Genomic DNA, 24,012 nt, shown 5'->3' with positions numbered 1-24,012 from the left:
TTTACTCATTCAATAAACATATATATATATATATACTGCTGATCTCTCTCTTTCTGCTTCATTTGATCCTACTTATTCTTTGTGTTTCAACTTAGATATCTCTTCTTCTAGGGAAAAATATCCCTAATCCATGCTGGTCCCAAAGTGTAGTTTTAAGAGCAGCAGCTAAACCACATTTATTAGGAGCGTGGATATCAAAGAATGCTTCCTATCAGAAGGGAGAAAAAGAAAAAGAAAGAGGACAGAGAGCAGAGAAAGAAAAATGTTGCAGGTGGAGAGGATAAAAGACATCAAATAAGAAAAGTATATTGCATTTAAGGAGCTAAGAATATCCCAGTACTTCTGGGGAAGGAGGTAGGTTGAGGTGAGAAATGAAGCTGGAAGGTCAGCAGGAGTCAGAACAAGAAGGGGTTTGGAAGACACACTAAAAAGCTGAGACTTCAAAGCTAACTAAAGAGAAAGATGGTCAGATTTGTGACAGCAAATGCTCACGCTGGCTGCAAATTGAAGAGTGGGCTAGAAGGACAAGGGGGGAAAAGGATATCAGTCCTTGCTGCAATAATACAGGCAAGAAATGATGGTGGGGTAAATTAGGCAAATAGAATTAAGTGGACCAGTTCCAGAGATGCTAAGGAAACATGATTGACTGGAAGTGATTGGCTGGATTTGTGTAGGAAGGGAAGAGGGCACCTGGATGCATCCGCCTTTAATACTTGAGCAACTTAGAGGCAGATGGCACTGTTCTCTGAGATAAGGGGCACCAAGAAGGGCTTGGTTGGGAGGATTGGGAAGGAAGTTCATGATACAGAGTGTTTGGGACTCCAAACTCCATGTGCTTCCTGTTATCCTGGCCTATACCTTTTTTCCTGAGGTGACTGGGAACAGGGCAGCATGCTGAGTGATGCGACACCAGAAAAATGGTGAAGATACCATTCCAGTCTCAGAGATTCAGTCTAGTGTGGACAGAAAACACCCTCAAAAAAGTCAAACAGGAGATAGAACGTGCGAAGTGTGTGAAGTGCCATGGTCAAACTACAAGGTACACTGGGAGGGGGTGACTGCTTCTGCAGGTTTGGCCAACTGGGATGTATTAACCCTTCCTGTATTTCTTCTCTGTGGGTCAAGGAGGCTAAGACCTTGTTAGCCTCTGACTAAGCATTTTTCTCTAGGATTCTGAGTAAAAATCGAGGCTCAGACTTACAGGGCTTGGTCCTCTTATTAGGAAACATCACGATTCCAAATATGATAACTTACTCATGACATTCTGACCCTCATTGTGGGCTCTGTTTCACCAGAAGTCCCTCTTCTTCTAACTGTTCTGCATGGATGTTCAATGCTCTACAAGGTTTGGACTGTAGCAGTTCATACTATCGCACTTAAGTTATGTTCTAAAGGCACACAAGGCATATGTGAACACCATCACACTGAGAGAATGCTTTGGACCCAAGTTCTGTCTTTACTGACATTAGTAAGACTTTTCTGGTGCCAATAATATCCTTTCTCACAGCTTTTCCTGGGGACAAGCAGGCCATCTGAGCTGGCATTCCAGATGCCTGCTTTGCAGTCGGTATCTCCATTGTGTCCTCTTGGGGGACTTCGGGGCTCTCTTTGTTCATTTTGTTTTCTTCCATTCATCTACCCAAATGTTTTCAGTACTTACACTGTCCATGGATTTGGGAAGGGAGGCACACAAAGATGACTAAAATGCTATTTCAGCTGCCATAAAAAATGTGAGAAATCAGGCATGTAGAAAAGAGACCATGAAAAAGGGAATGTGTTTTGCAAATTCCAGGATCTGTAAGCCGAGTCCAAGTCCTAAGATCTGAAAGCATAAACTGAATGGTTAGAAGTAGTGAAATTTCTGTTTACTCAATTTTTGTGTGTGTGTATGTGTGTTAGGCATCATGCTAAGTTTCACTCACATATCATCTCCATTGACTACACAGTAAACATTAAATATATTTTATCTCCATTTTATAGATGAGGTCATTGAAACTCTAAGAGGTTAAATCCCTACCCAAAGTTCACAAAGCCAGGGAGTAAACTCAAAACTAATCTCATTGACAACTTGTTCTCTTAACCTCTCCTCTATCCTTCCCACCATCAAACATCATTAGTGCTTCTGCTTTATTTTCTCTTTGTATGGGCAAAACAAATAATAATAATAATAATAACATTTGAAAAATCACTGGATATAGATGCCTAAACTAGAATGTCAAAATAACATGTAATGGTCGCTACAGTTTCAAGTAAATATTTCTATCTAATGTTTACATCCTACAGTAGAAATCTGTCAGTTAAATTAAATTGCAGTTGTCTTTGACTTGCAAAATAATATCTTATATTTCCATTGAATCTATTAGCTGAATCAACTTATTTTACTTCTATAATTCAATGTAACATGTTTCTTTCCATTTGCTATCCTCAGGACACCCTTGTAAACAAGATGTTTCCTGTAATGAGTTTTTCCTGGTAAAAATCATTTAATAAGCAAATATCTCCAATCCCTGGTAATATGTGCTGACAGCCTCCTAACCATATTTGAAATATGAAAGCAGTGTTTCCAAGATGACTCAAGCCAATTGCTTTAATACTTCAATAAAAATAACTGCTATTAGAAGGCTCGATACTGAAGGCACATAATTTCAATCCTGGTTCATAAAATTTAATTTGGATTTATTTCAGGATAATGATCATTGAGAAAAGCAAGTATTGAAATGGTTGGACACATGGGTAAGGACCACTAATCTCCTCTGAGAGATTGCTGGGCTCCAGCAGGGTAGCTGGCAATATATATACACACACCATTAATTATTTGCTGGAATATTTTCTGTGACATTGGTCTCAAGGTGCTCTGCTCAAATACTCTACCTCAGCAGAATCCCTGCCACAGAGTACTTGAGTAAAATAACTTTACATCAAACTGGATTCTCTTTGGCTCTGACCACATGACCAGGTTTCATGGGTCCACTTTTTTTCCTATATCTTATATAACTTTTATGATAAATGAGTACAATTCCAGTGATCTACAAGAATGTTATGAGTAAAAATGTGGAGCATGTATTCACTTAGAACACATGTGGAAGGGCTCTTTAATGTAGTGTTGTCTATGCCTCCCAGCTTACAGATGAGACAACCAGAGTTCTGGAATAAATGACTTGCCCAGGGTCACAGAGCCAGGGCCTCAGGGTAAGTGATCTGATCTTTGGTCCAGTGTCAGTTCAGTGTGCCACACTTTTTACACTAAACCAGAAGGAAGAGGCATTGGTTAATCATGATAACAACAACAGTTTATGCTTATTTTAAGTTTGGTAAGCATGGTATATGCATCATCTTACTCAACCTTCAAAACAATGCTACAACTCATACTTTATTTATGAGAAAATGGAGGCTTAGAGCATTGAGATAACTTGCTAAAGCTCATTCAGCTAGTGAGTGGTAGCCCTGAGATTTGACCCAGGCTATAGAGCCTAACATCCTGTAATGATGATGCCAAGCTGAAATTATCAAGCAAGGTGTTTGGAGTACCCGTATATGCATCTAACAGAGGTGACAGGAAAAGCAAAATCTTTCTATGTGCAAAGAATTAAGAAAATAAGGAGAGTTGAGATAGGAAAGACAGAATCAGGAGATAGGAAAATGAAGGACTTAAGAGGCTAAGAGGGGGAAATTATTTTTTGACCTGCAAATGATCTTTATAATCACTTCAATTTTCTAGTTTATTTTAGTCAGGGTCATCTGGCATTGGTCATTCTGTATTTTAAATTTAGTAGTACCCACAATTCTCAATATTCACTTTTAAAGCATACACTGATTTTAGGAAATCCAAGGTAATAACCTGCCTTTAGTGGGAGTGAAATGAACATTAGAAGCAGATTTCAAGAACAAATGAAAAATTCCCTTGCAGTATTTTATTGCTTTTCTGTTAACAGTGGAAATATATAAACCTATTTCTTTATTCAGCAAATTCAAACATGCATTGCTAGAATGTAATGTTAAAATAATTATCAACGCTCATTTTATCCCCAAGTTATCTAAATGCTTTCGGATCTGGTCAATCACATAATTAATATATTTCTAAGAAATTGCCTTTTGGTATCACTTTTGATATACAACAACTGGTATGGGACTTTCCATCTGCAAAGTGTTATATGATCTCTCTTTTTAAATCTTGTGAGGTATGTCATCAAGGAGTTGATTTATGATCCTGGTTCAGTAACCTTGGACATGTCTCTATCTTGCACATTATTGATAAAATGATTCAATGTTTGCAACCTGAGATTTGAAAAACACTGCTATCTGGAAACCTGAAAAAGATTGTTTTTGAACGCTATAATTGGTCCAAGGATGAAAAAAGACAGGCATTTTTCATAAGTTCAATTTTGCCATAGTCCCAAGTTGGTAAAAGGTATTAATAATAATTGTTGAAGGTAAATTATCTTCTCAAGGTCTGGAGATAAATACTTGATTGGTGAGACTGTCCTAGATAGTAAATTACAACTGTGTCTAGAGGAAGTCACACAACTTGTTTTTTTTTCTTTTATTTTCTATTTTTAATATAGTGGTTGGTGGGTGTAAGTCAATTCAGAACAACATATATTGCACATCTACAATGCACCAGGCACCCTGCTGAGTGTTCAGGATACAAAGGTGGATAACATGAAGACTCCACCTTCAAGGATCTCACAGTATCAAAGGTGAAAATAGCATGTGACATGATTATGGATCACACTGCGAGCTTCCACAAAGCAGAAATATCAGAAAACATGCATTCTTGCATAAGTTTACGCAGTTTTGAATGAATGTCATTGGTTACTTGCTCATTTAAATTATTCATCTGATCCTTTTATGAGCATTTAATAAGTTCTAAATAAAATCTTAGCTCAGACTTCTTTCATTGCAGACACAGAGAAGTCCATTTGATCCTCCTGTCACCTGTCCAGTTGCAGCTTAATACTGATTTTCTCTACCCAAACCTCCAGATTGGGTTAGTTGCTTCATGCTTCATGTTCACTCAACCTTTTGTTTATACATTCACCATAACACATGTTCCCTTCTGTTAAATTACATATTCACTTATTTATAAGTATGACTCCTTTAATCAGTATCTCCTAGAGCTTAGGGTCCGCTCATCTTTGAATTCCCCCATACTTGGAAAAGTTCACACATTTATGGGAACACGTCATAACAGTTTACTGAATTAATGAGTAAGTTACTTAATGTAGAATCATCTGGACATAACTTCTCATATATACAAAGCTTACACTTCTCATGCTACCATTTTTTTTCTTTTTCAACTTTTATTTTAGATTCTGGGGGTACACATATGAGACTTTAAGCAAATCAGTTAATCTCTTTGGTTTTTAATTCCCAAACAAATATCAATATATTGAAGTAGCTAGGCTATATGACTGCTGACATTCCTACTTATTCTAAAATAAAATTATTTGGACACTTTACCATTGGCCTATTGGAAAAGGCCTAATGGATAAGGATATAATTTGACCCTAAATTGATAAGTTTCAATAAAGTCAAAACATTATACTAATGTAAAAAATAATGACAACAAATGCAATAATGAGTCTTACCATGTAGAAGGTGCTTTATATAGAATGTTAGGTAAATGGCCAAGTATAGATTTTAATATATTTTATCCATCCATCCATTCATCATCCGTCCATCCATCCATCCATCCATCCATCCATCCATCCACCCATCCATCCAGTCATTTAATAAATATTTGTTGAGTGTTTGCTAGGTGCTAGGCATTGCTCTAGGCAGTAAGCAAGAAAAAATAAAATCTAGGACTCCTAAAGAACTTACTCTCTAATCAATATTTCAAACTCTGTGCTTTTGCCCATAAGCAATAAGGTCTCCAAAGTTTTGTTAATAACTTTAGTAATATAAATATTTGATTCCCCTGTTTAACTAGGGCCTGGTTCCTAAAGATTTTCATTATATAAATTTAAATGTATAAAATTTTTCATAAAAGCAGGTATTCTAATGCTCTGCTCCATATTTTAAGAACTGCTAAAATTCTTTATTCTTATTCCAGGCAGTAAGAATATTAACTTCAGTTGGGCATTATCTTTCTATCCTCAAAGATCACTCTGAATTACACCAAATTAAATAGATTTAGGAATAAAAGAACAAATTATCTATTTTTGTTTGCATGTCAGGAACAGGTATTTTAGACAAGTCTTTGTAAAATAAAAGTATATCCTTTAGTTAAACTAGTGTTTGCACACAGATATCCCTCTCTCTCTCTGTCTTATACACACACACACACACACACACACACATACACACACACTCCCAAAGAATGATCTTTTCCTACAAAGGAACTAAGAACTGAACAGATAAGCTTGGAATTATTAGTCTTGAAAAATGGGTGTTCCATTTCTGGTGTGTGTGTGTGTGTGTGTGTGTGTGTGTGTGTGTGTGTTTTAAAAGCACCTAAGAGGCAAAGAGTAGAGGCCAGGTTGTACGAATGGACAGCAGCCATCATGGACCATTCATGGAAGTAAATCCACACTGCGTATATTTTGGGGTCATGAATTGGAAAAAGATAATGACTGTTCACTCTTTTATTAAAAAACAATATGGTCTCCATTTCAACCCTGATGTTACAGACCCTGCCCTCTGTGGTTACAGGTACTTGCTTGCTGCTGGGTGACTCTCAGTCTTTTTCTTACATATGCAAATAGGACAACAGCGCTATTAAAAAAGAGTGTGCGACAGAGGCTGGATACTTTTGTAATGATAATGCAATCCTGTCTCCTTCAGGAAACGTCTTCTTTTCACCATTAGGACAAAATCAAACGTTTAACAACTTCGCTTCAGTGAAAACAAAATATGCGCCTATAAAGCTATAATGTGTTGAAACCACGTGACAATCGCTGATGTCCAGATCAAGTTAGCCTTACTTTCAATTGCTATAATTTTATTTATTTATTAATTTTTGAGAAGATCTCACTGTCACCCAGGCTGGAGTGTAGTGGAGTGATCATGGCTAACTGCAGCCTGGACTTCCCAGGCTCAGAATTGCTCAAGCAATTCTCCCATCTTAGCCTCCCAGGTAGCTGGGACTACAGGTGCACGCCTGGCTAATTTTTGTATTTTTTTGTAAAGATGGGGTTTTGCCATGTTGCCCAGTCTCATTTCAAACTTGTGGGCTCAAACGATCCACCCACCTTGGCCTCCAAAGTGCAGGGATTATAGGCATGAGCCACTGTGCCCAGCTGCTATCCCTTTATACTCTCTTTCAGGCTGGAATGGGAACCACATAAATGGCATCTTTCTGCATTTTCTGATTTCATAATACAAAGTTAATAATCAGGTATCTGAGAAGAATGTCATGATTCTAAAGAGTGACAAAAAATTTAATATGATTTTTGACTATCATATTAAAAATCTAGATTCTAGAAATCAAATACTTTGGAAAGATAACACTGCCTATATAGAAATACTCTCTGTCAAAACCTTCAAATAAGTCTGAATTAAAACTGAAATAAAACCTATGAATGATTCTCTCACACTAAACCATTTCTCTTTTTGCTGGTAATAAAAAGTCCAACGAAAAATAACACAGCTAAACTTCCTACAAAGTACTACAAAGGGAGACAATCTCACCTAATCTTGAAAATAAACTAATGAGAAATATTAATTATATTTTGTTGTTTTTATATATCTTTTTTTTTTTCATTAAAAGGTAGCCAGCCATCTGGCTGGGCATGGTGGCTCACGTCTGTAATCCCAGCACTTTGGGAGGCCGAGGCAGGCGGATCATGAGGTCAAGAGATCGAGACCATCTTGACCAACATGGTGAACCCGTCTCTACTAAAAATACAAAAATTAGCTGGGCGTGGTGGCACGTGCCTGTAGTCCCAGCTACTTGGGAGGCTAAGGTGGGAGAATTGCTTGAACCCAGGAGGCAGAGGTTGCTGTAAGCCGCGATCGTGCCACTGCACTCCAGCCTGGTGACAGAGAGAGCCTCAGTCTCAAAAAGAAAAAAAAAAAAAGTAGCCGTCCACGACCAAAATGTTCCTCTCTATCTCTCTCCTATATATACATTTTTTGGGAATATACATCAAGTTATGACTGGGGAAATACTATATTTTATATCTATCTATGTATATTATATATAGATAATATTCTGTAAGCTAAGTATGGGAGGAAAAGCAAGACAACACCCGGTTTCAATAACTCAAAGAAGGCTGTTTTGCTTTGTTTTGTTTTGAAATCCATTCAGCTACATTTAGCTAAAAAGTTCTCTTCTCCATTTAAATATAAGTTGGGTTAGCTGTTTAAAGCAGAATAACTGTTTTTAAAAAAGGAAAATCCTAAAGTATTAAGTGGTGTTAACTGAATTGTGAGATTATGGATAAAGTTTTAATCACACTTTTCAGAACCCTCCAAAAGGTTTACTAGAACGTATACTATTTTCATAGTCATCAAAAGATGTGTGTATGTGTATGGTGATAAGCTATCTGACTTTCCTGTTAAATTAAAATTACCTATTAAATCATGTCATCTATTTTGATACATCACTTCGAAATCTCCCTCTGAACTTGTGGATTTTCTCTCTTATCACTAAACAAGGCCAAAAGAAAATAATAAGTTTTATATATTCTTTAAAATCTCAACAGCCAATTACACACGTGTATATAGGTGTGTATTCTTTTAAATGCGTCTTCACATGGCACATGGACAGATTCTAAATTCCCACCAGAGTTGACCATAAAAGAGCAACAGCAACATGTTCTAGAACACTTAATTTTGAATGATAGTATAGGCAATAGGATATTCAATAAGATTTCAGAAAGAGGATACAGAATCACACACACACACACGGAAAAAAAAAAGGTCAGTTTTCATCCATGTGGTCACACCAACAAGGGAGGGAAGTAAAGGGAAATAAATAGTTTCTAACGAGAATTCTCCAACTGCAATTTAAAACCTGCACCAGAATGGGCAACATGCTAGAAAGAGTGTTTGGTTCTTCCCCTTTATTCAGTGAGTGCATTGAACATCTATTCCTTTGGTTATTCAGTGCATATTCTCAATGAAACTGAGTCTTAGTGAACAGATCATTGTTAAAAAAAATTCTGATTCTTTTCTCCATTTTACATGTTTGAGAGGATAAGTTATTGTCACTTTTCTCTGCTTTAATTTTTCAATTATTAACTAGATATTTGTAAACTTAAAATGTGAAGCTCCCCACCAACTGAACGGACCCCTCTTGGTCAAGGGGGCCCCAGAGAAACCTGAAAAACGAAGTCCTTGGTGGTGATGGAAAGGGAGGTGGGACATGCCTCATGATACCTCCTTCTTGGAGTTTAGGCACAACTGACCAGCATTAATATTAAAATAGAGATCATCAGACTAACGAAATGGACTCTTCATGACACTAAGAGACCGAGTTATAAACAGGACCTAACGCCATGCCAGACAAGGGTTAAGTCACACACCCTTACAAGTCACTCTGTCTCAGTGTATTGGTTAACAGACTTCCTTATATTAAGCATTCTTTTTTGCTGATTCCAAATTTCTAGACAAAGCTTTCCTCCTTTAACCAACTGCAAATTAAAGAATCTCTGAATCCACCTATAAGCCCCCGCTTCAAGATATCCTACCTTTTTGGGCGATACCAATGCATGCCTTCCATGTATTGATTTATATCTTTGCCTGCACGCCTGTCTCCCTGATATGCATAAAACCAAACTGTAACTCACCCACATTGGTGACAATTTCTCAGGACCTCTTCAGACTGTGTTTCCACAGGCCATGGTCATTCCTACTGGCTCAGAATAAGCCTCTTTACATATCTTAAAGAGGTCTTTTGTTTGTTTGTTTTTGTTTTGTTTGCTTATTTTTCCTGTTAACACATGCCTACATCTATTTATATATTACCGTAATATAAATATATATTTATATTATATCATTTGAAAGATTTTTTACTAGCTTTGTTATTTGTCCTTTCCCTTGACAATGTGCAAAGGTGGCACTGGCAGATTTGAAAATGGCTCTGATTTATGAAAGCAAAATCCAAAGAAATGAAAGTTGCTCCTGGTAGCCTCAAACCACGATGCCAGCTTGGAGTTCTGCCTAATTCTATCCTTCCCTCTGGAGGTTTACAATGACCTGGAAGACAGCCATCTAGTTAAAGGAGCCACATTTCTGAATAAAATTGCTGAAGACAGTGCCTTCGGGTCTAAATTTCAATCCCTGCTCTGCTCCATCATTCTTAATTTCTCTGAATTTAAGTTTCCTCATCTGTAAGACAGGGACATTACAGTTCCCAGCTATTTTTGTGAGGATTAACTGAGCCATTGCTTGTGAATGCTTCCAACAGTTCCCAGAACACAATTCATGGAAGACAAATGGGAGTTTCATAATTTTTTCTTTCACTAACAATTTACTACTGGTTCCAATTCTAAACATATTTTAAACATGGCATATGCAACTTTGGTTATCCAGGCCCCCAGTGTCAAACACAAACTAGTTTAGTGTATTGTGAGAGAATTCACATTTACTAATTCAAATTAAAACTAAATGCAAATTGTAGTAGCATAACACACTAATGAACACAGAGGAACTTCCAGTCCCTGCGGTACTACATCTTATGTTATGTAAATACCATTCAAAGGGGTCCCACTCAAAGGTTTGTACTGCACTTGCTTCTTGGCTTGTCTTTTATTTCCTGAATTCCTTGAAGTAATATACTATTCGGTATAATAGACTCTTAACATTCAAAGAAAATTTGATAAAAGGAAAAGAAAAATATAAACCTGAATGGGCTTATTAAAAAAAAAAAGAAAAACAATTTTCTCATGATGATATAATGAATGAAAATATAAATTCTCTTTTACATTCTCCTGAGGGTTCTGGGAAGGGGTCAAATAAAAAATAAACATTTCCATAGAAAAAATCAGTAGCTCTTACTATGTGTCAATGTTAACAACAATCAGAAAACAATGTTGTTAAACTGTAGCCCCAGGAAGCTACAGCTGGTGGAATGATCAGATATGACTAAGGAAACAGGCAGGGGTCTTGCTAGTCAGTAGAAGCTGTGTTTGCAGAACATCATCAGAGGAGAATGAACCTCATCATATACCAGCATTACCTAACTCTGTCCAACAGAAAATGAGCAAAAGCAGCAGCCAGAATACAGGAAATAGCACTGATGAGGACCATGGTTAAAGCTAAATGTCTGAGCAATTGCAGACAGGTGGGGTACTGTCTAACTTCCCATCACCTTGATAGGATCCATTTCAGCTATCACAATAAAGGCAAGTCTTTAGATGGATTTGCGCTAGATCTACAAGATACTTGGCAGATGAGGCAGAAGCAAGATGACAGAAGAAATGAGAGATCCAAGGAGCCCCAATCTGGAGATATTTATTTAGCTTCATTTACCTGACAGGTCTCCAATTCCTAAGGTGGGGGAACTGGATATTAATACAGGACAAATACTATAGTTATGCCTGTATGTTCTTTGTAGTTCCTTTCTGAACTGTTGTGTATTTTTTATTTGCATAAATGTATGGGGTATAAGAATAATTTTGTTACATGCATAGTGTATGTAAGGGCTTTTAGGGTACCTATCACCCAAACAAAATACCATTGTTGGCTGCATATGAGTCATGTCATAATGTGGATTTAGCCTTATCTAGTTTACAGGTTTTGCGGGTCCTTCATCATCTGATCCCAGCCTTATCTCCTGTCTATCACCCTCTCCAGCAAATGCATCATGCTTTTTTTTTTCCCCCAGCTAACTCCTACCATATCTTCAAAAGTCAGCTCCAGTGTCATCTCCTGGAAACTGTCTGCCTGGATCTCTTCCCTAAATGGGACAGGCGCCCCTCCTATCTATTCCCTTACCATAATCACATTCCTTATCCCGGTATATAGTAAGTTATCTGGTTTCCTGCCCATTGCCCTAGACGGAGACTTAATTCAGAATGAGGAACATGTCTTTCATCTCTGCAGCCCCTAATGACAGACATTATTGGGTACCTGTTAGGTACTCAGTACAGGAGAGCTTCTGCCATCCTTGTCGCTATTGTCATTGTTACAGGCTGGTGTCTGGCTGTGCTACCCGTAGTGCAAGTTTTCAGCCCTTCCAGAAAATAAAAAATAATGATACCTTAAGTAGGCTTAAGCTTATAGTAAAATTTCACATGGTAAGATCAATAAACGTAAAAATGGCAGATGAGCTTTACTATCTTGACAAGAACATCAGCTCTGAACTAACTGTGTATGTGAGGTTGATGATAAACTTTTGTGGCTGAAAAGATGAAGAAGGTACTTGAAAGTGTCTCAAAGAAGACAAAGCAAACCATCCCACCCAGGTCAAAGTTTATGCCTTTCCTGGAACATGATAAGAGGTGGAATTTATGAAGCATCATAAGTATAAAGACGACTGGAACGATTACAGGAATGGAAGTTCTTTGAGATATAAAGATAAATGAAACAATTTGGTTCAGCAATCTGGTACAAGGGCTGTGAGGTGATTATTAAAGTTTATATAGACAGGGCAAATACAGTTTGAATATCCCTTATCTGAAGTGCTTAGAACCAGAAGTGTTTCAGATTTTGGACTTTTCTGGATTTTGGAATATTTGCATTATACTTAATGGTTGAGCATCCCTAATCCGAAAACCCGAAATCCAAAATGCTCCAATAAGCCTTTCCTTTGAATGTTATGTTGGTACTCAAAATGTTTCAGATTTTGGAGCATTTCATATTTCAGATTTTCATATTTGGGATGCTCAACCTGTACATGTAGATATTTAGCAAACACTATACAATTAGGTCTCAAGAATGCCTCTTAAATATGGAAAGGAGGATTTTGTTTGCTTCTTGTTTTTAAATGAAAGTATTTCTCAAAATGTTGTCCAGGGACCAACTGCATCATTATCACCTAGAAACTTATTAGACATGCAATTTCTAGCCTATCCTAAGTTTATCAGATTAAAAATCTGATGTGGCCCCTCCACCTCCCTTCTTTCAATCTGTGCTCTTAACAAGTCCCCTAGCACTACTGTTTTAGGTTAAAACACTGCACCTGAATAATAGGTCATTTTGCCTTGCTCATTTGCCAAAGTAGCCATTTCTAAGTTAAGGAAGTTTTTAGGTAGGCTCATAGCATTGTATTTCATTTTAGATTGTAAGCTCAATGGCAGGGATACTATATTGATAATTATGTTTTCATATAGCAACCATCACAGTATATTCTTGGTGCTTAATAAATGTTTATAATTGTTAACAACAACAACAACAAAAAATAAGCATCTTCCCTTGTCTCTGCCTGGAAAGTCTTTCTTGCTTTTAGTTGCCTGTTCCAGATCCCACTCCTTAAGGCTCAGCTCAGACCCTATCACTTTGAGAGTCTCTCACCTCTCTATATCCTCATTGCACTCTGCTAGAATTATAGCAATTGCAGCAATTGTCACAAATCCCCTGCCTATTTTCTAAATGTCCCAGCTGGACAAAATTTCACCCTGGGCCCTGTTCTCATCAATAATAGATTGTCTCCACACAGCTTATCCACTCCTTTGGCTTTAATGATCACCCCTCTACTGGCTTCTGAATGTATTTCTCTAGCCAAGATCTTTTCCCCAAACCCTGGAATCATGTATTCAATTGCTGGATATTATCTCCAAGATGTCCTACAGATATGTCATGTACAAGCGATCTAAAATCAAATTTCTCTAACTCCTCAGTTCTCTTTCAATTGATCAACTAGAAATAATTGAGACACTGCCACCTATTAATTTTATTGTGAAAGTCAGAAATTTAGGATATCTTCCATTATTCTTGTCTTTTCTCCTTTGCCCGCAAATCCAATCAGTCATTGAGTCTTACTGATGTAAACTCCTGAAATCTCTCAAATGTCTATACTTCCTACCATCTTTACTCGCCCACTATGGCCACTACCATTTCTTGCCTTGAATCTGTTAATCTCTTCCTATTTTCTCCCTATCTGCAAAGTTAGTGTTTTCTTAATTTCCCAAACTGTTGTCCTGATAATCATTCTGAAACACAATCTCATGGTGCATTCCCTTTTAAAATTCCTTCAATCACTCTACACTGCATTTAGAATTAAAAAGAACAAACTTCTTCTTTTTCTTTTTTTGAGATGGAGTCTCGCTCTGTCGCCCAGGCTGGAGTGCAGTGGCAAGATCTTGGCTCACTGCAAGCTCTGCTTCCCGGGTTCACGCCATTCTCCTGCCTCAGCCTCCCGAGTGGCTGGGACTACAGGCACCCACCACCATACCCAACTAATTTTTTGTATTTTTAGTAGAGACAGGGTTTCACCATGTTAGCCAGGATGGTCTCGATCTCCTGACCTCGTGATCTGCCTGCCTCGGCCTCCCAAAGTGCTGGGATCACAGGCGTGAGCCACCGCGCCCAGCAAAAGAACAAACTTCTTAACACAGCATTCAAGGTCCTTCATATCCAGTCCATGCACACCCTTCTTATCGCCATGCCTGGCCTCTTATCGCCACTCTCTTGTACTGTATTCTCTAGGAACTGCTTGCAGCTCCCCCAAAGACTCTATTTTCCAATCAGTAGTTCACAGAAGTCGGTCCAGTAATTAGTACTAGGTATGAAAAGGATTGCCAGTGAAGTGAAATGAAGAAAAAAAAAAAAAAAAAGATGCTAAACTTATTCAAGTTAAAGAATTGTCCTTTATTCTAAGATTATTCCCTTTTCTACATTCTGGTGTTAATCCTTTGCTTTAAGAAATCATGAAACTAATTGCTTATTTGGAAATGACAATACAATTTGGTTACCTTTTATCCATTTCCTAAATGATTTTTGAAATTTGATTTCTCAATGATAGTCAAAAAACTAGGAAGATCTGCAGGCTGAGAGGTGCTATTCTTCTGCCTGGAAGCTGCTTAACTTCTTTGTCCAGCTAACTTGTAATTTTTCAGGATCTAACTCAAAAATCAACTCTTTCTGAGGGCCCTAAGCTCCTTTCCTGGGTTTCTGTGGCATCCCTGGCCAGTGGTGGCTCAGTGCTTAACCACCTTGCGTTGGAGATGAGCTGTTTGTCTTAGTTTCATGCTATGCTGCAAGCAAGGGCTTCTTTTTCCTAATTTATTGATTCTTGCTAATTCAGTAGTGATTCGATAAATTCCCTTTATAATAAAAAATAGGTACTGGTAATCTGGATTTGGACTGGAGTTATTGGTGTAATGGCTGATGCATTAGCCATGTGGATTTATGTCCTACATGACAGAGACAACCCTGACGGGTGGGTGGGTCATGACTTTTCAACTTTCCATTCCCCTGCAGGTTCTAGCACTGTTCTCTGCCCATTTGGCTCTCAATAAATGCTTCTGAATTAAATTGAAAGTAGAGCCATAAAGAAAATGCAAAATTAAGACACTGAAAAATTAAGATAACACAAGCAAGCTACATGGGGAAAGTCACTTTAGCCAAAAGGCCCTGGACAATTATTTAAAGTAACAAGATTACCTTCAGGGACTTTTTTTTCAAATGCACATATTTAATCATCTAATGTGTAAGTCAAATCTCAGATATAATTAATTCAGTCTGCCTTAACTTTTTTTTTTTTTTTTGCATACTAGCTTACATTAGATAAAGCTAATCTGTAATACAGCTCCGGTAGCCCATGTCTGTAAATGCTAAAAAGAAAGAAAGGAAATTTTGTAGGTGTCCTGTGATTAGGGCACCCTTGGTTTCAGCTAGATAAGTACTATGTCAATGAGTCTCAAAGGGACTTGAGGTCTGTGGCTTCGTAGTCCTTATTTCTGAAGAAAACACTGTTAGATTTTATGAGAGGCAACGGCTATTCTGAAGGTCACATGTGTTAGTGCCAATGTTTCTGTTACGAGTGGGTGACAAGGAGAAGAGGTGATTTCAGACTTTGCTGCTGAACTTTAATTGCTAACTTAAACAACAAATAGATCTTATGTGATTTAGAAGAAGTAAATCATTTGTCTTCAGATTGTGAAAATAAGAGCATTACAGGTGACTTAGACTTTTATAGGAAATCTAGTGAAAAGGATGGGAGGAGTGACCTTAAATAGAAACCCGAAAGTCCTCTTAGAGGAATAGTATGATATTCTGCATATAGATTCCCTACAAAGACCTTAGAAAAAATGCAATACTTAGGTCTCTGCTAAGATGATGAATATGTTTTTTCTCTAAGGGTTATTTAACACATTCCATAATTTTATTATAAATGGTCCAATAAAATGCAACAATAAGTTATGTGCTATATTAGGAGGACACCTCATTTATGAGTAATGTGGTAATTTGTAAAACTAATGGGCACGTTTATGAGCATAAAGTGTTCTAAAGAATAAATAAAATACTTTAATAGGCAAAACTGAGGCATTTAGCATGAGGGGGACACATTCTTCTGGGGGATCTAAATTTCCAGGCAGTTGCCAAATTCTGGAAATGTGGCCCTTCCTAGGATCTATTTGGTTCAAGAGACAGAATAGTACAGTGTAAAGGAGACAATGCTGAACTTGGAGCAGGGGTCTGTGTTATCTTCTGGCACTGCCATTAATTAGGTTTTCTAGGCCCCTACTCCCCATTCATGGGCTGAAGTGGTGATAATGCCCAATCATTAAGGCTCTGTCTAATGCTCACAGCCTTTAACTAAATTTAGTAATTCAGCATTCAAAGGTGAGAATATGAATTCAACCATTTCCAATTTGTCACTGCCTTTATGATAATGAAAAAGAAATCACAGATTAGTTTCAGAAATATTAGCGTTTAACCTCATTGTAGGGTGTGTTGAGCTTTGCAAGCATATCAGCAGTACACATATTTTTGTTGATTTTGCTGTTTTCTTCTGGAATGTTGTTTTCAACTGATGATTAATGTCCTAATAACTTGTTTTTTAGTGTGGCTCTCTGAAAAAAACTAGGCTGTTTTTGTGTATTCATTGTGTGTACCTGTCTTTGGCAGGAGGTGGATCAGTTTTGAGGATGAATATCTCACCTTTGTTATTGCACACAATGGCTCCATTTATGGCTCAAATCTGGCCTCCTGTCTGTGACAGAGGTACTGCTATCAGTAATCCATGAAATGTTTCTTGTTCTTTTAATGAGTTGAACATTCAGCTGAGACCAAAAAAAAAAAAATGCTGTTGTGTTCTTTTTAGGCATACTAAATTCACTTTCTCATCCTCTCCACTTCCAAGTTATATTCATGGAAGGGCACATACCCACAATGTGAAAAAAAGTAAAGCCCTGGATGGTGAAATCATACCTGGAAAGCTGAATTTCTCAGTGCTCTTATTTACCCTATGCTCTCTATTTTCATTTTGCAAAGGGAAACAGAGGTCTTCAGTTATTAAGTTCTGCCAAGATATCTTGTATAATATAAAATGAATACATTCCCTGTTTGTTCTGATTTTTTAATTTGATTTTTTATTTTTTAAGTGGGAAGTTTTTAAGTCATTATATTGTGGCTGTACTTTTTATAATTTGCTATTTCACATCTTATATTTTAAGAGTTAGAATTTTATTTTATTTAGAGCCATGTGTTTTAAAAGCACTTAAGGTTTTTTTTTTTTTTTTTTTTTTTTTGTCACTGGTCAGTACCTGTATGGTGGGCATGTACTTGCTGGTTCACAAACATGGGAATCGAGACAGAGTCATATAGTCGTTGTCTAATTCTTGTTTCTATCTTTTTTCTTAGTGCAGCACCTGACCATCGTAAATACTCAATAACTATCTTCTGAGTGAATGACAGAAAAGACTGCTCTTCTTCCCAGAATGAGAATCAACATTCCATAGGAATAATATTTCAGAAGCTAGACATGCTTTCAAGTTGTCAGTAGATTTTACAATGGCCATACAGGAACATCAAAATCTGATAAAACCTAAAAAACAAAACATTAATATATCTGGAGCCTTATAATTTTTTATTTTTTGCAATTGTCTTCTAATGTATACTGTCTACTATACTTATTAAATGCTAGACTAACTCTGAAATCGTCTTTTAACTTTAGGAAGTCTATCCATGGGCTGGGTCCTGAGGCGGTATTTGGTGGATCCTATTTCAGCATCTGACTCCGTGACCGTGATCTAATCTGAGAAACTAATCAATACCTAGGAGAGAGATAAAATGGCCTTCATGCCAGTTAAATGCTGTGCCTTTCATATAGGCTTCTTGGAGATAATGCTCTAGTCTTTAATGACTAATTTAGATGAGGGAGGTGAGGGCAACTATTAAAGACCCAGGAGGCTGGGGAGGGAATGTTGTACTATTATTTGGCCCATATTTTTGAACAAGGAAGAGATCTTGAGGATTCTTTATTTTCTTCCCTTTAGGAATACAGAAAACAAGTCCACAGGTGGAGAAAATGCCCTGTTCCATGAGGCTACAGCGTCTGTCAGACCACAAGGCTGTGGTCAGGGGTCAGAAGGGTCCCAATAACGAGGATTTTCAAGACTTGCATACATTCAAAATGGAGAGGCAAAATCTGAGGAAGGCATGTGCATTCCTATGGCATTTTGGCCTCAAACCTGCTGAAGCCATCGTGTGTAAGAAATAGCTTCAGGGAAATATAACTACACTGATCCTGTACCAAATACATTTATAAGAAACAAGCAGGAAACACTCAGCTAGAATCACCCTCAAGAAGTTATTAGTGCCATCAATTCTGTGGTAGCTTTGCTCCATTGAGTCTTCTGTACCTCGCTCTTTAACACCCTACGTGAAAAACCATCATGGCCTCCGTGCGCTCTGGAATCACCTTTCTCCACCAGTGTTCTCCAGATGTGTGACAGGAAATGGAGCCAGGGAGGGTTCCAAGGTCAAACGAGGTAACAGGCAGAATCTATTCTCTCTTTACTGAAGTGTCTGAGAAATCTGTCATTATTTCTCTCTCTGCCTCATGTGCACAATAATCTAAGATTTCCTAAACTATTTGACTATGAAATCCTTTATTTTTCTTTTCTTGTATAGCATTTTTGCTAACCACATAAATTATTTTTAAAACCCTTTCATTTGTATTAGCTACCCTCATCCTTAGGCCCACCATTTGAAGAAGGCAAGTTATATCTTATTTTACGTCTTTGAGAGATGAAGAAACAGAATCATCAATGTTCATAACTTGGCCAGGGTTATATAATTATTATGGGATGAAGCCAGGTTTCAAGAATTTTAACATCAGACTCACGGCCTCTTTCCCTATTTATCGTGTCATCTCTGTTTTTGAACTCTAAAGTCAGTTTTTGGAAAAAAGAAATGACCCATTAAGATTACATATTTTCTTAATGATCTCCCGTATACAGAAATTGAAGACAATTCTCAAGACCATCATTTCTCAAATTAATTGACATTCAAACTTGAAAAAAGCTCTGTATTTCATATCATAGAGCTGTGTTAACAAAATGTTCCCAGAATGTGGTTTATTAAATCTGTCATTTTAAGTTATTTGTATTTTTACCAATGAGTTAGTATTTTCTCTGTAAAGTGAAATAACTATCACAGGCACAGAATGAAAATATTTATTTTATTTTTTGAATTTTTAAAGCCCATTGTAAATTGCTAGAGGCGAAATGCACAATAAAGCCATAAAAATAAAACAGAAAACCTTTAAAGAGGTTTTCGGCATTCCAGAAAATATATACTTATCACAGATCATAAATGCAGTCCTGGATAATTTTAAACATATGGTAAGTTTCTTCTTAAGTACTTATATTTTAGGAATCTTAATTATGTTGTAAATCTTTTTCTCATCACAGAATAACTTTGCCTTGAAAATCTGTGTAGGTAAGACTGCTACTTCTTTCCTCATAATATTTATAGGAGTTGGATTGGCTTACAATTTGCAATTCATTAATTCAGAATATAATTCCCCATAACTAAGGAGTTTCTTGTCTAGTTATTCAACTCAGTAGTGCTTCATTACATTAAACTATGAGCTGCAAAAACAAACAAATTATTTCTCAAGTACTTAACAGTCCATATGTTATAAAAACAGCCTGTGAAGGTGTTATACTTACTTCTTCCTATGAAGTAATGCTTAGTATTTACTACTCCACTGTCAGAGTAGCTATAAGCTTATTAAAACTTTTCTCTACTCCTATGAGGACTCTTAATAAAGCAGAATGACTTCATGGTCATTTTCTTTGCAGAAAAAGAACTGTCAGAGAGTCTTGCACTTTTGAGATTCTCTGAGATGAGCTGCCTGGGTGTTACTTGACTTCATATTAATAGTAGCTAAATAGAGTTTCCAAAGAGGTTTCCTACTGTACTTTCAAAATTAAAAATTGGAAGCCTTGGTCCCATTCTCCTTTCCTCTTGACAATCTTGAAGTTCTCTTCTGCACTTAGAATGCTGGTTTAGGCTGGGTTTTTGCATTTACTAAGCAAACTAAATACATTTTTTGTTCTAACACAGTGCTATGGTATTAACACTTACTTACTCTTGTACTTTTCTTTCTGAATTATGATTTATTTCCCTTTGCTTCACTGTAGAGACTTAAGAGTATAAAATATAACAACTGTTCCTTTTGGATCCTATCAATTGCCTGACTGACTTAGGAAGCTAAGATAAAATAAAAAAGCTAGGAGGCCTGGTGGACAGGGTTAGTTTTGATACAGAAAAAGTTAATTTGGATAGTAAAATGGTTAGAAGTACCTTCTGTTGAAAAAAGAAAAAAATAAACTTTAAATCCTTCAAATATTGCATGTGTGTTCATCTGAGTTTTATTTATAGTACTCAAAAGTCCAACAGATCCTAAACATTAATCAGTATGAGAGCATTAAATATATCTTGCTCCATCAATGCAATGAATATGATTCCATCACGAAACAGAACTTTCATATTTACATGGAAAAAAGGTATATCTTACACTTTAAACAATCTGCAAAATGGTATGAATATAAACATATTTGTGTAATATGATCTTCTGTGTAACATACAGACCCTGCCTGGTTCATTATACTTTCCATTTATCCTACTGACCTCATTCATTTTAAAAAGAAAATTGCTTATGTGGCCTTTGAGTCAACATAACCTTTCAAGGAATCTTTCAGTTTCATAGTGGGCTATTCTATTAGTCAAGATCTAGCCAGAAAACCAGAAACCACTCCAGGTTCAGAGTGGTTTTCAAACAGAAAGTATTTAATACAGGGAAATAGTTACACAGGGGACAGAAGAGTTGAGAAACCAAACAGAAGTTAGAACGATGACCCAGACATTACCAAAGGAAGCCACTCGCTCTGCTAGGGCTTATGGGATAACAGGAGGAGCTATTACCCAAAAACACAAGCCAAAGTCTCTGGTGGGGGATTGGGTCACAGAAGAGTGGGAGGCAGAACCACAGGGTAGACACAGTTGTTACTGCTGCTACTGCTGCTGTTACTGCTGGAGACTTGGAAAGGAAATGGAGTGAGGAGGAAAAAATATTCCAGCTTCTCTCCTGCTTGGGACAGGTCTTCCATAAGTCCCTTTGATTGGCTTAACTGACCCAGAAGCTAAAGAACAAGGGACCCTGGGAAATGTAATTCCCTGCTTATAGAGAGGCGAGTAGAGGAAAGGAGAGGAAGGGATCTGAGAGCAGGCAGTAGTTGTCCAGCACAGCTTATGGTTTGTCCATTACTGTTTCCATTCAAGTGGTGGTTTAGGATAACCCTGAGATTTCTCATTATTTCAATTTATATTGTTTGTTCTAAATACTGAGTAACTACAGCATGTTTTTAAAATGTGCTAAACACACATTATAAATACCTACATAACTGAATACTATAAATGCCACAATTTAATAACTTCACAATGTAATCATAAAATTTTAAAATTTATCAGAGACACTGTAGTCTGAGCCTTTTTTGTTGTTGTTACTGAAACAAATTGAGGTTCAAAGAAGTTAAGGTGAATTTCAGAAAAATGCTTAGAGATACTGGTTTTTGTATTTGAGTAACGTGGGTGTGGAAAAAAGTAGTTATGGAGGAAGAATGGGATCTAAAATAAATGATCATGGTAGTAACTGACATTGTTTGACACATTTGTGATTCTCCGACCTTCTGAATAAAGATATGCTAACATAAGGGGTGATGGCAAATGCACACAAATGATTAGGAGGCTCACAATGCTGTTTGCCAGATCTTTCCAGTTCTCTTCATTTCTGGTCACATGGCAGCATTGCAATTTCTGGCTCTCTTGTGGTTAGATAGGGCCAAGTAAATTGTCCTGGCCAGCGAGTTGTAACACTCTGTCACTTCCAAGCCAGAGCATTTAATTGCCCGTTAAGACCAGCCAGAGCTCTGTCTTTCCTGCAGTCAGAATGACTGGTAAAATTCCACACAGCAACTGCTATGTCACCTAGGATCCAAAGTGAGGACACAAGTGTAGCGTCCCCACCTGACTCATATTAGGCATGTAATGCTAGAAAGAAAAGAAACTGCATTGTTTCAAGCCACTGAGATTTTGAAGTTGTCTATTATCACAATACAACTAGCTTATCCTGACAGATACAGTGATCTATTGTGCTCTCTATTAAAAAGTACACAACTACAACCAAATCAGCTTGCAAGTGATCATTATTTACTTAGCTGTCTGTGGAGTCATTATAAAAATTTTCCTACTTTACAGACCATCATCTAAGTTAGTTAATGACCCACCCAAAAGATGATGAGTGTTACTGGTAAAATAAATCTTTCCTAAATTTTCATCAAAAGTCTAAAGTGTTTCCTTCTAAATAAACACACTGATTTTAAAATCTAAGAGAAGATAAATTCTAATATTTGAGAATTAAGTGCTGATTAATAAGTGTTGGAAAGAATACATCATGATATAAAATAGATTACTATTCCCTGTAGGGGAGCAGAAATAATCATGACTGTGGACTGTATAACATTGTCTACAAGGCAATCTAACTCCCTTTGCTTAAGCCTTTCCTTATTAAGCACCTTCTAATTCCTAATTTGGCTTTCTAGACACCTTGATATGCCTTGGATAGCAGATAGGAACATTCAGGAGCTAGAAATGATTATTCCTCCACCTTACTCTAAAAACGAATTTAAAAATGACACCAATTTTCTGACCTGGTAACACTAAACCAGTCACCTGTGGCAACCTCATCCACATGTGGCCATCTGACTAGCAGTTCCCTGGCACTCTTCTTGCTTTTACAATTGAAATAGCAATAATTTAGCAAAATATTATCTGCCCATTTGTAACTGGCAATGACCAGGGCTGGTCCAGATGTACAAGAATCTTGGCTTTGGGATTTTTACCACTGTATTAGGTAGTTCTTGCATTGTTGTAAAGAAACACCTGAGAGTGGGTAATTTATAAAGAAAAGAGGTTTGATTGGCTCACAGTTCTGCAGGCTTTACAGGAAGCATAGTGACATCTGCCTCTGGGGAGGCCTCAGGAAGCTTCCAATCACAGTGGAAGGCAAAGGCGGAGCTGGCACATCACATGGCGAAAGTAGGAGCAAGAGAAAGAGTGGGAGGGGAGGTGCTTTCAAATGACCAGGTCTCACAAAAACTCACTATCACAAGACCAGCACCAAGCCATGAGGGATCTGTCCCCATGATCCAAACACCTCCCAACAAGCCCCACCTCCAGCATTGGGGATTACAATTCAACATGAGATTTGGGCAGGGACAAATATCCAAACTCTATCAACCATGTACATGGATGCAAACTCTCCTTCATAGGTTCAAACCACTCTTAAGAGTGAACAATACAGGGTGATTATGGAATGATACATATTGGAGTTTCTGAATTTTCAATGTTCAGTTCAGTTGTGACATCCTAGGCCCAGATTTAGAGTAGGAAAAAAAGTTACCATATTGAAAAATGACTAGTACATATATATTTTTCTTAAGAGATAATATAATTTTAGGATTTAAAAAAATCAAAAGTGAATAAAATATTAGAGATTTTCACTTTTAATCTATATACCAAAAACATTTCTATAAAATACTGTAAATAGATATTTAGTCCCTAGCTAATGGCTGCCTGAAGGCAATTTTCAGAACAACACAACTTTCCTTA

The 24,012-nt window shown here is 37.1% G+C and overlaps 1 protein-coding gene across 4 annotated transcripts in view, besides 1 other annotated feature; it reads right to left on the bottom strand.

Moving 5' to 3' along the window:
• Nucleotides 1-24,012, bottom strand: part of GPC6 (glypican 6) — a 1,191,492-nt gene that overhangs the window by 257,171 nt on the left and 910,309 nt on the right. The window lies entirely within an intron of this gene.
• Nucleotides 6,372-7,305: an enhancer, noted in NCBI's record as "OCT4-NANOG hESC enhancer chr13:94795799-94796732 (GRCh37/hg19 assembly coordinates)". NCBI's record gives its function as "activates a minimal SCP1, AML or CMV promoter by ChIP-STARR-seq in primed H9 embryonic stem cells {active_cell/tissue: H9 hESC(primed)}" and the evidence as "EXISTENCE:reporter gene assay evidence [ECO:0000049][PMID:30033119]".

This window comes from Homo sapiens, chromosome 13, assembly GCF_000001405.40.
Source record: "Homo sapiens chromosome 13, GRCh38.p14 Primary Assembly".
NCBI classification, from domain to species: domain Eukaryota; kingdom Metazoa; phylum Chordata; class Mammalia; order Primates; family Hominidae; genus Homo; species Homo sapiens.
Note: the sequence above shows the minus strand (reverse complement) of the source record. Positions and strands in the feature narration are given on the sequence as shown.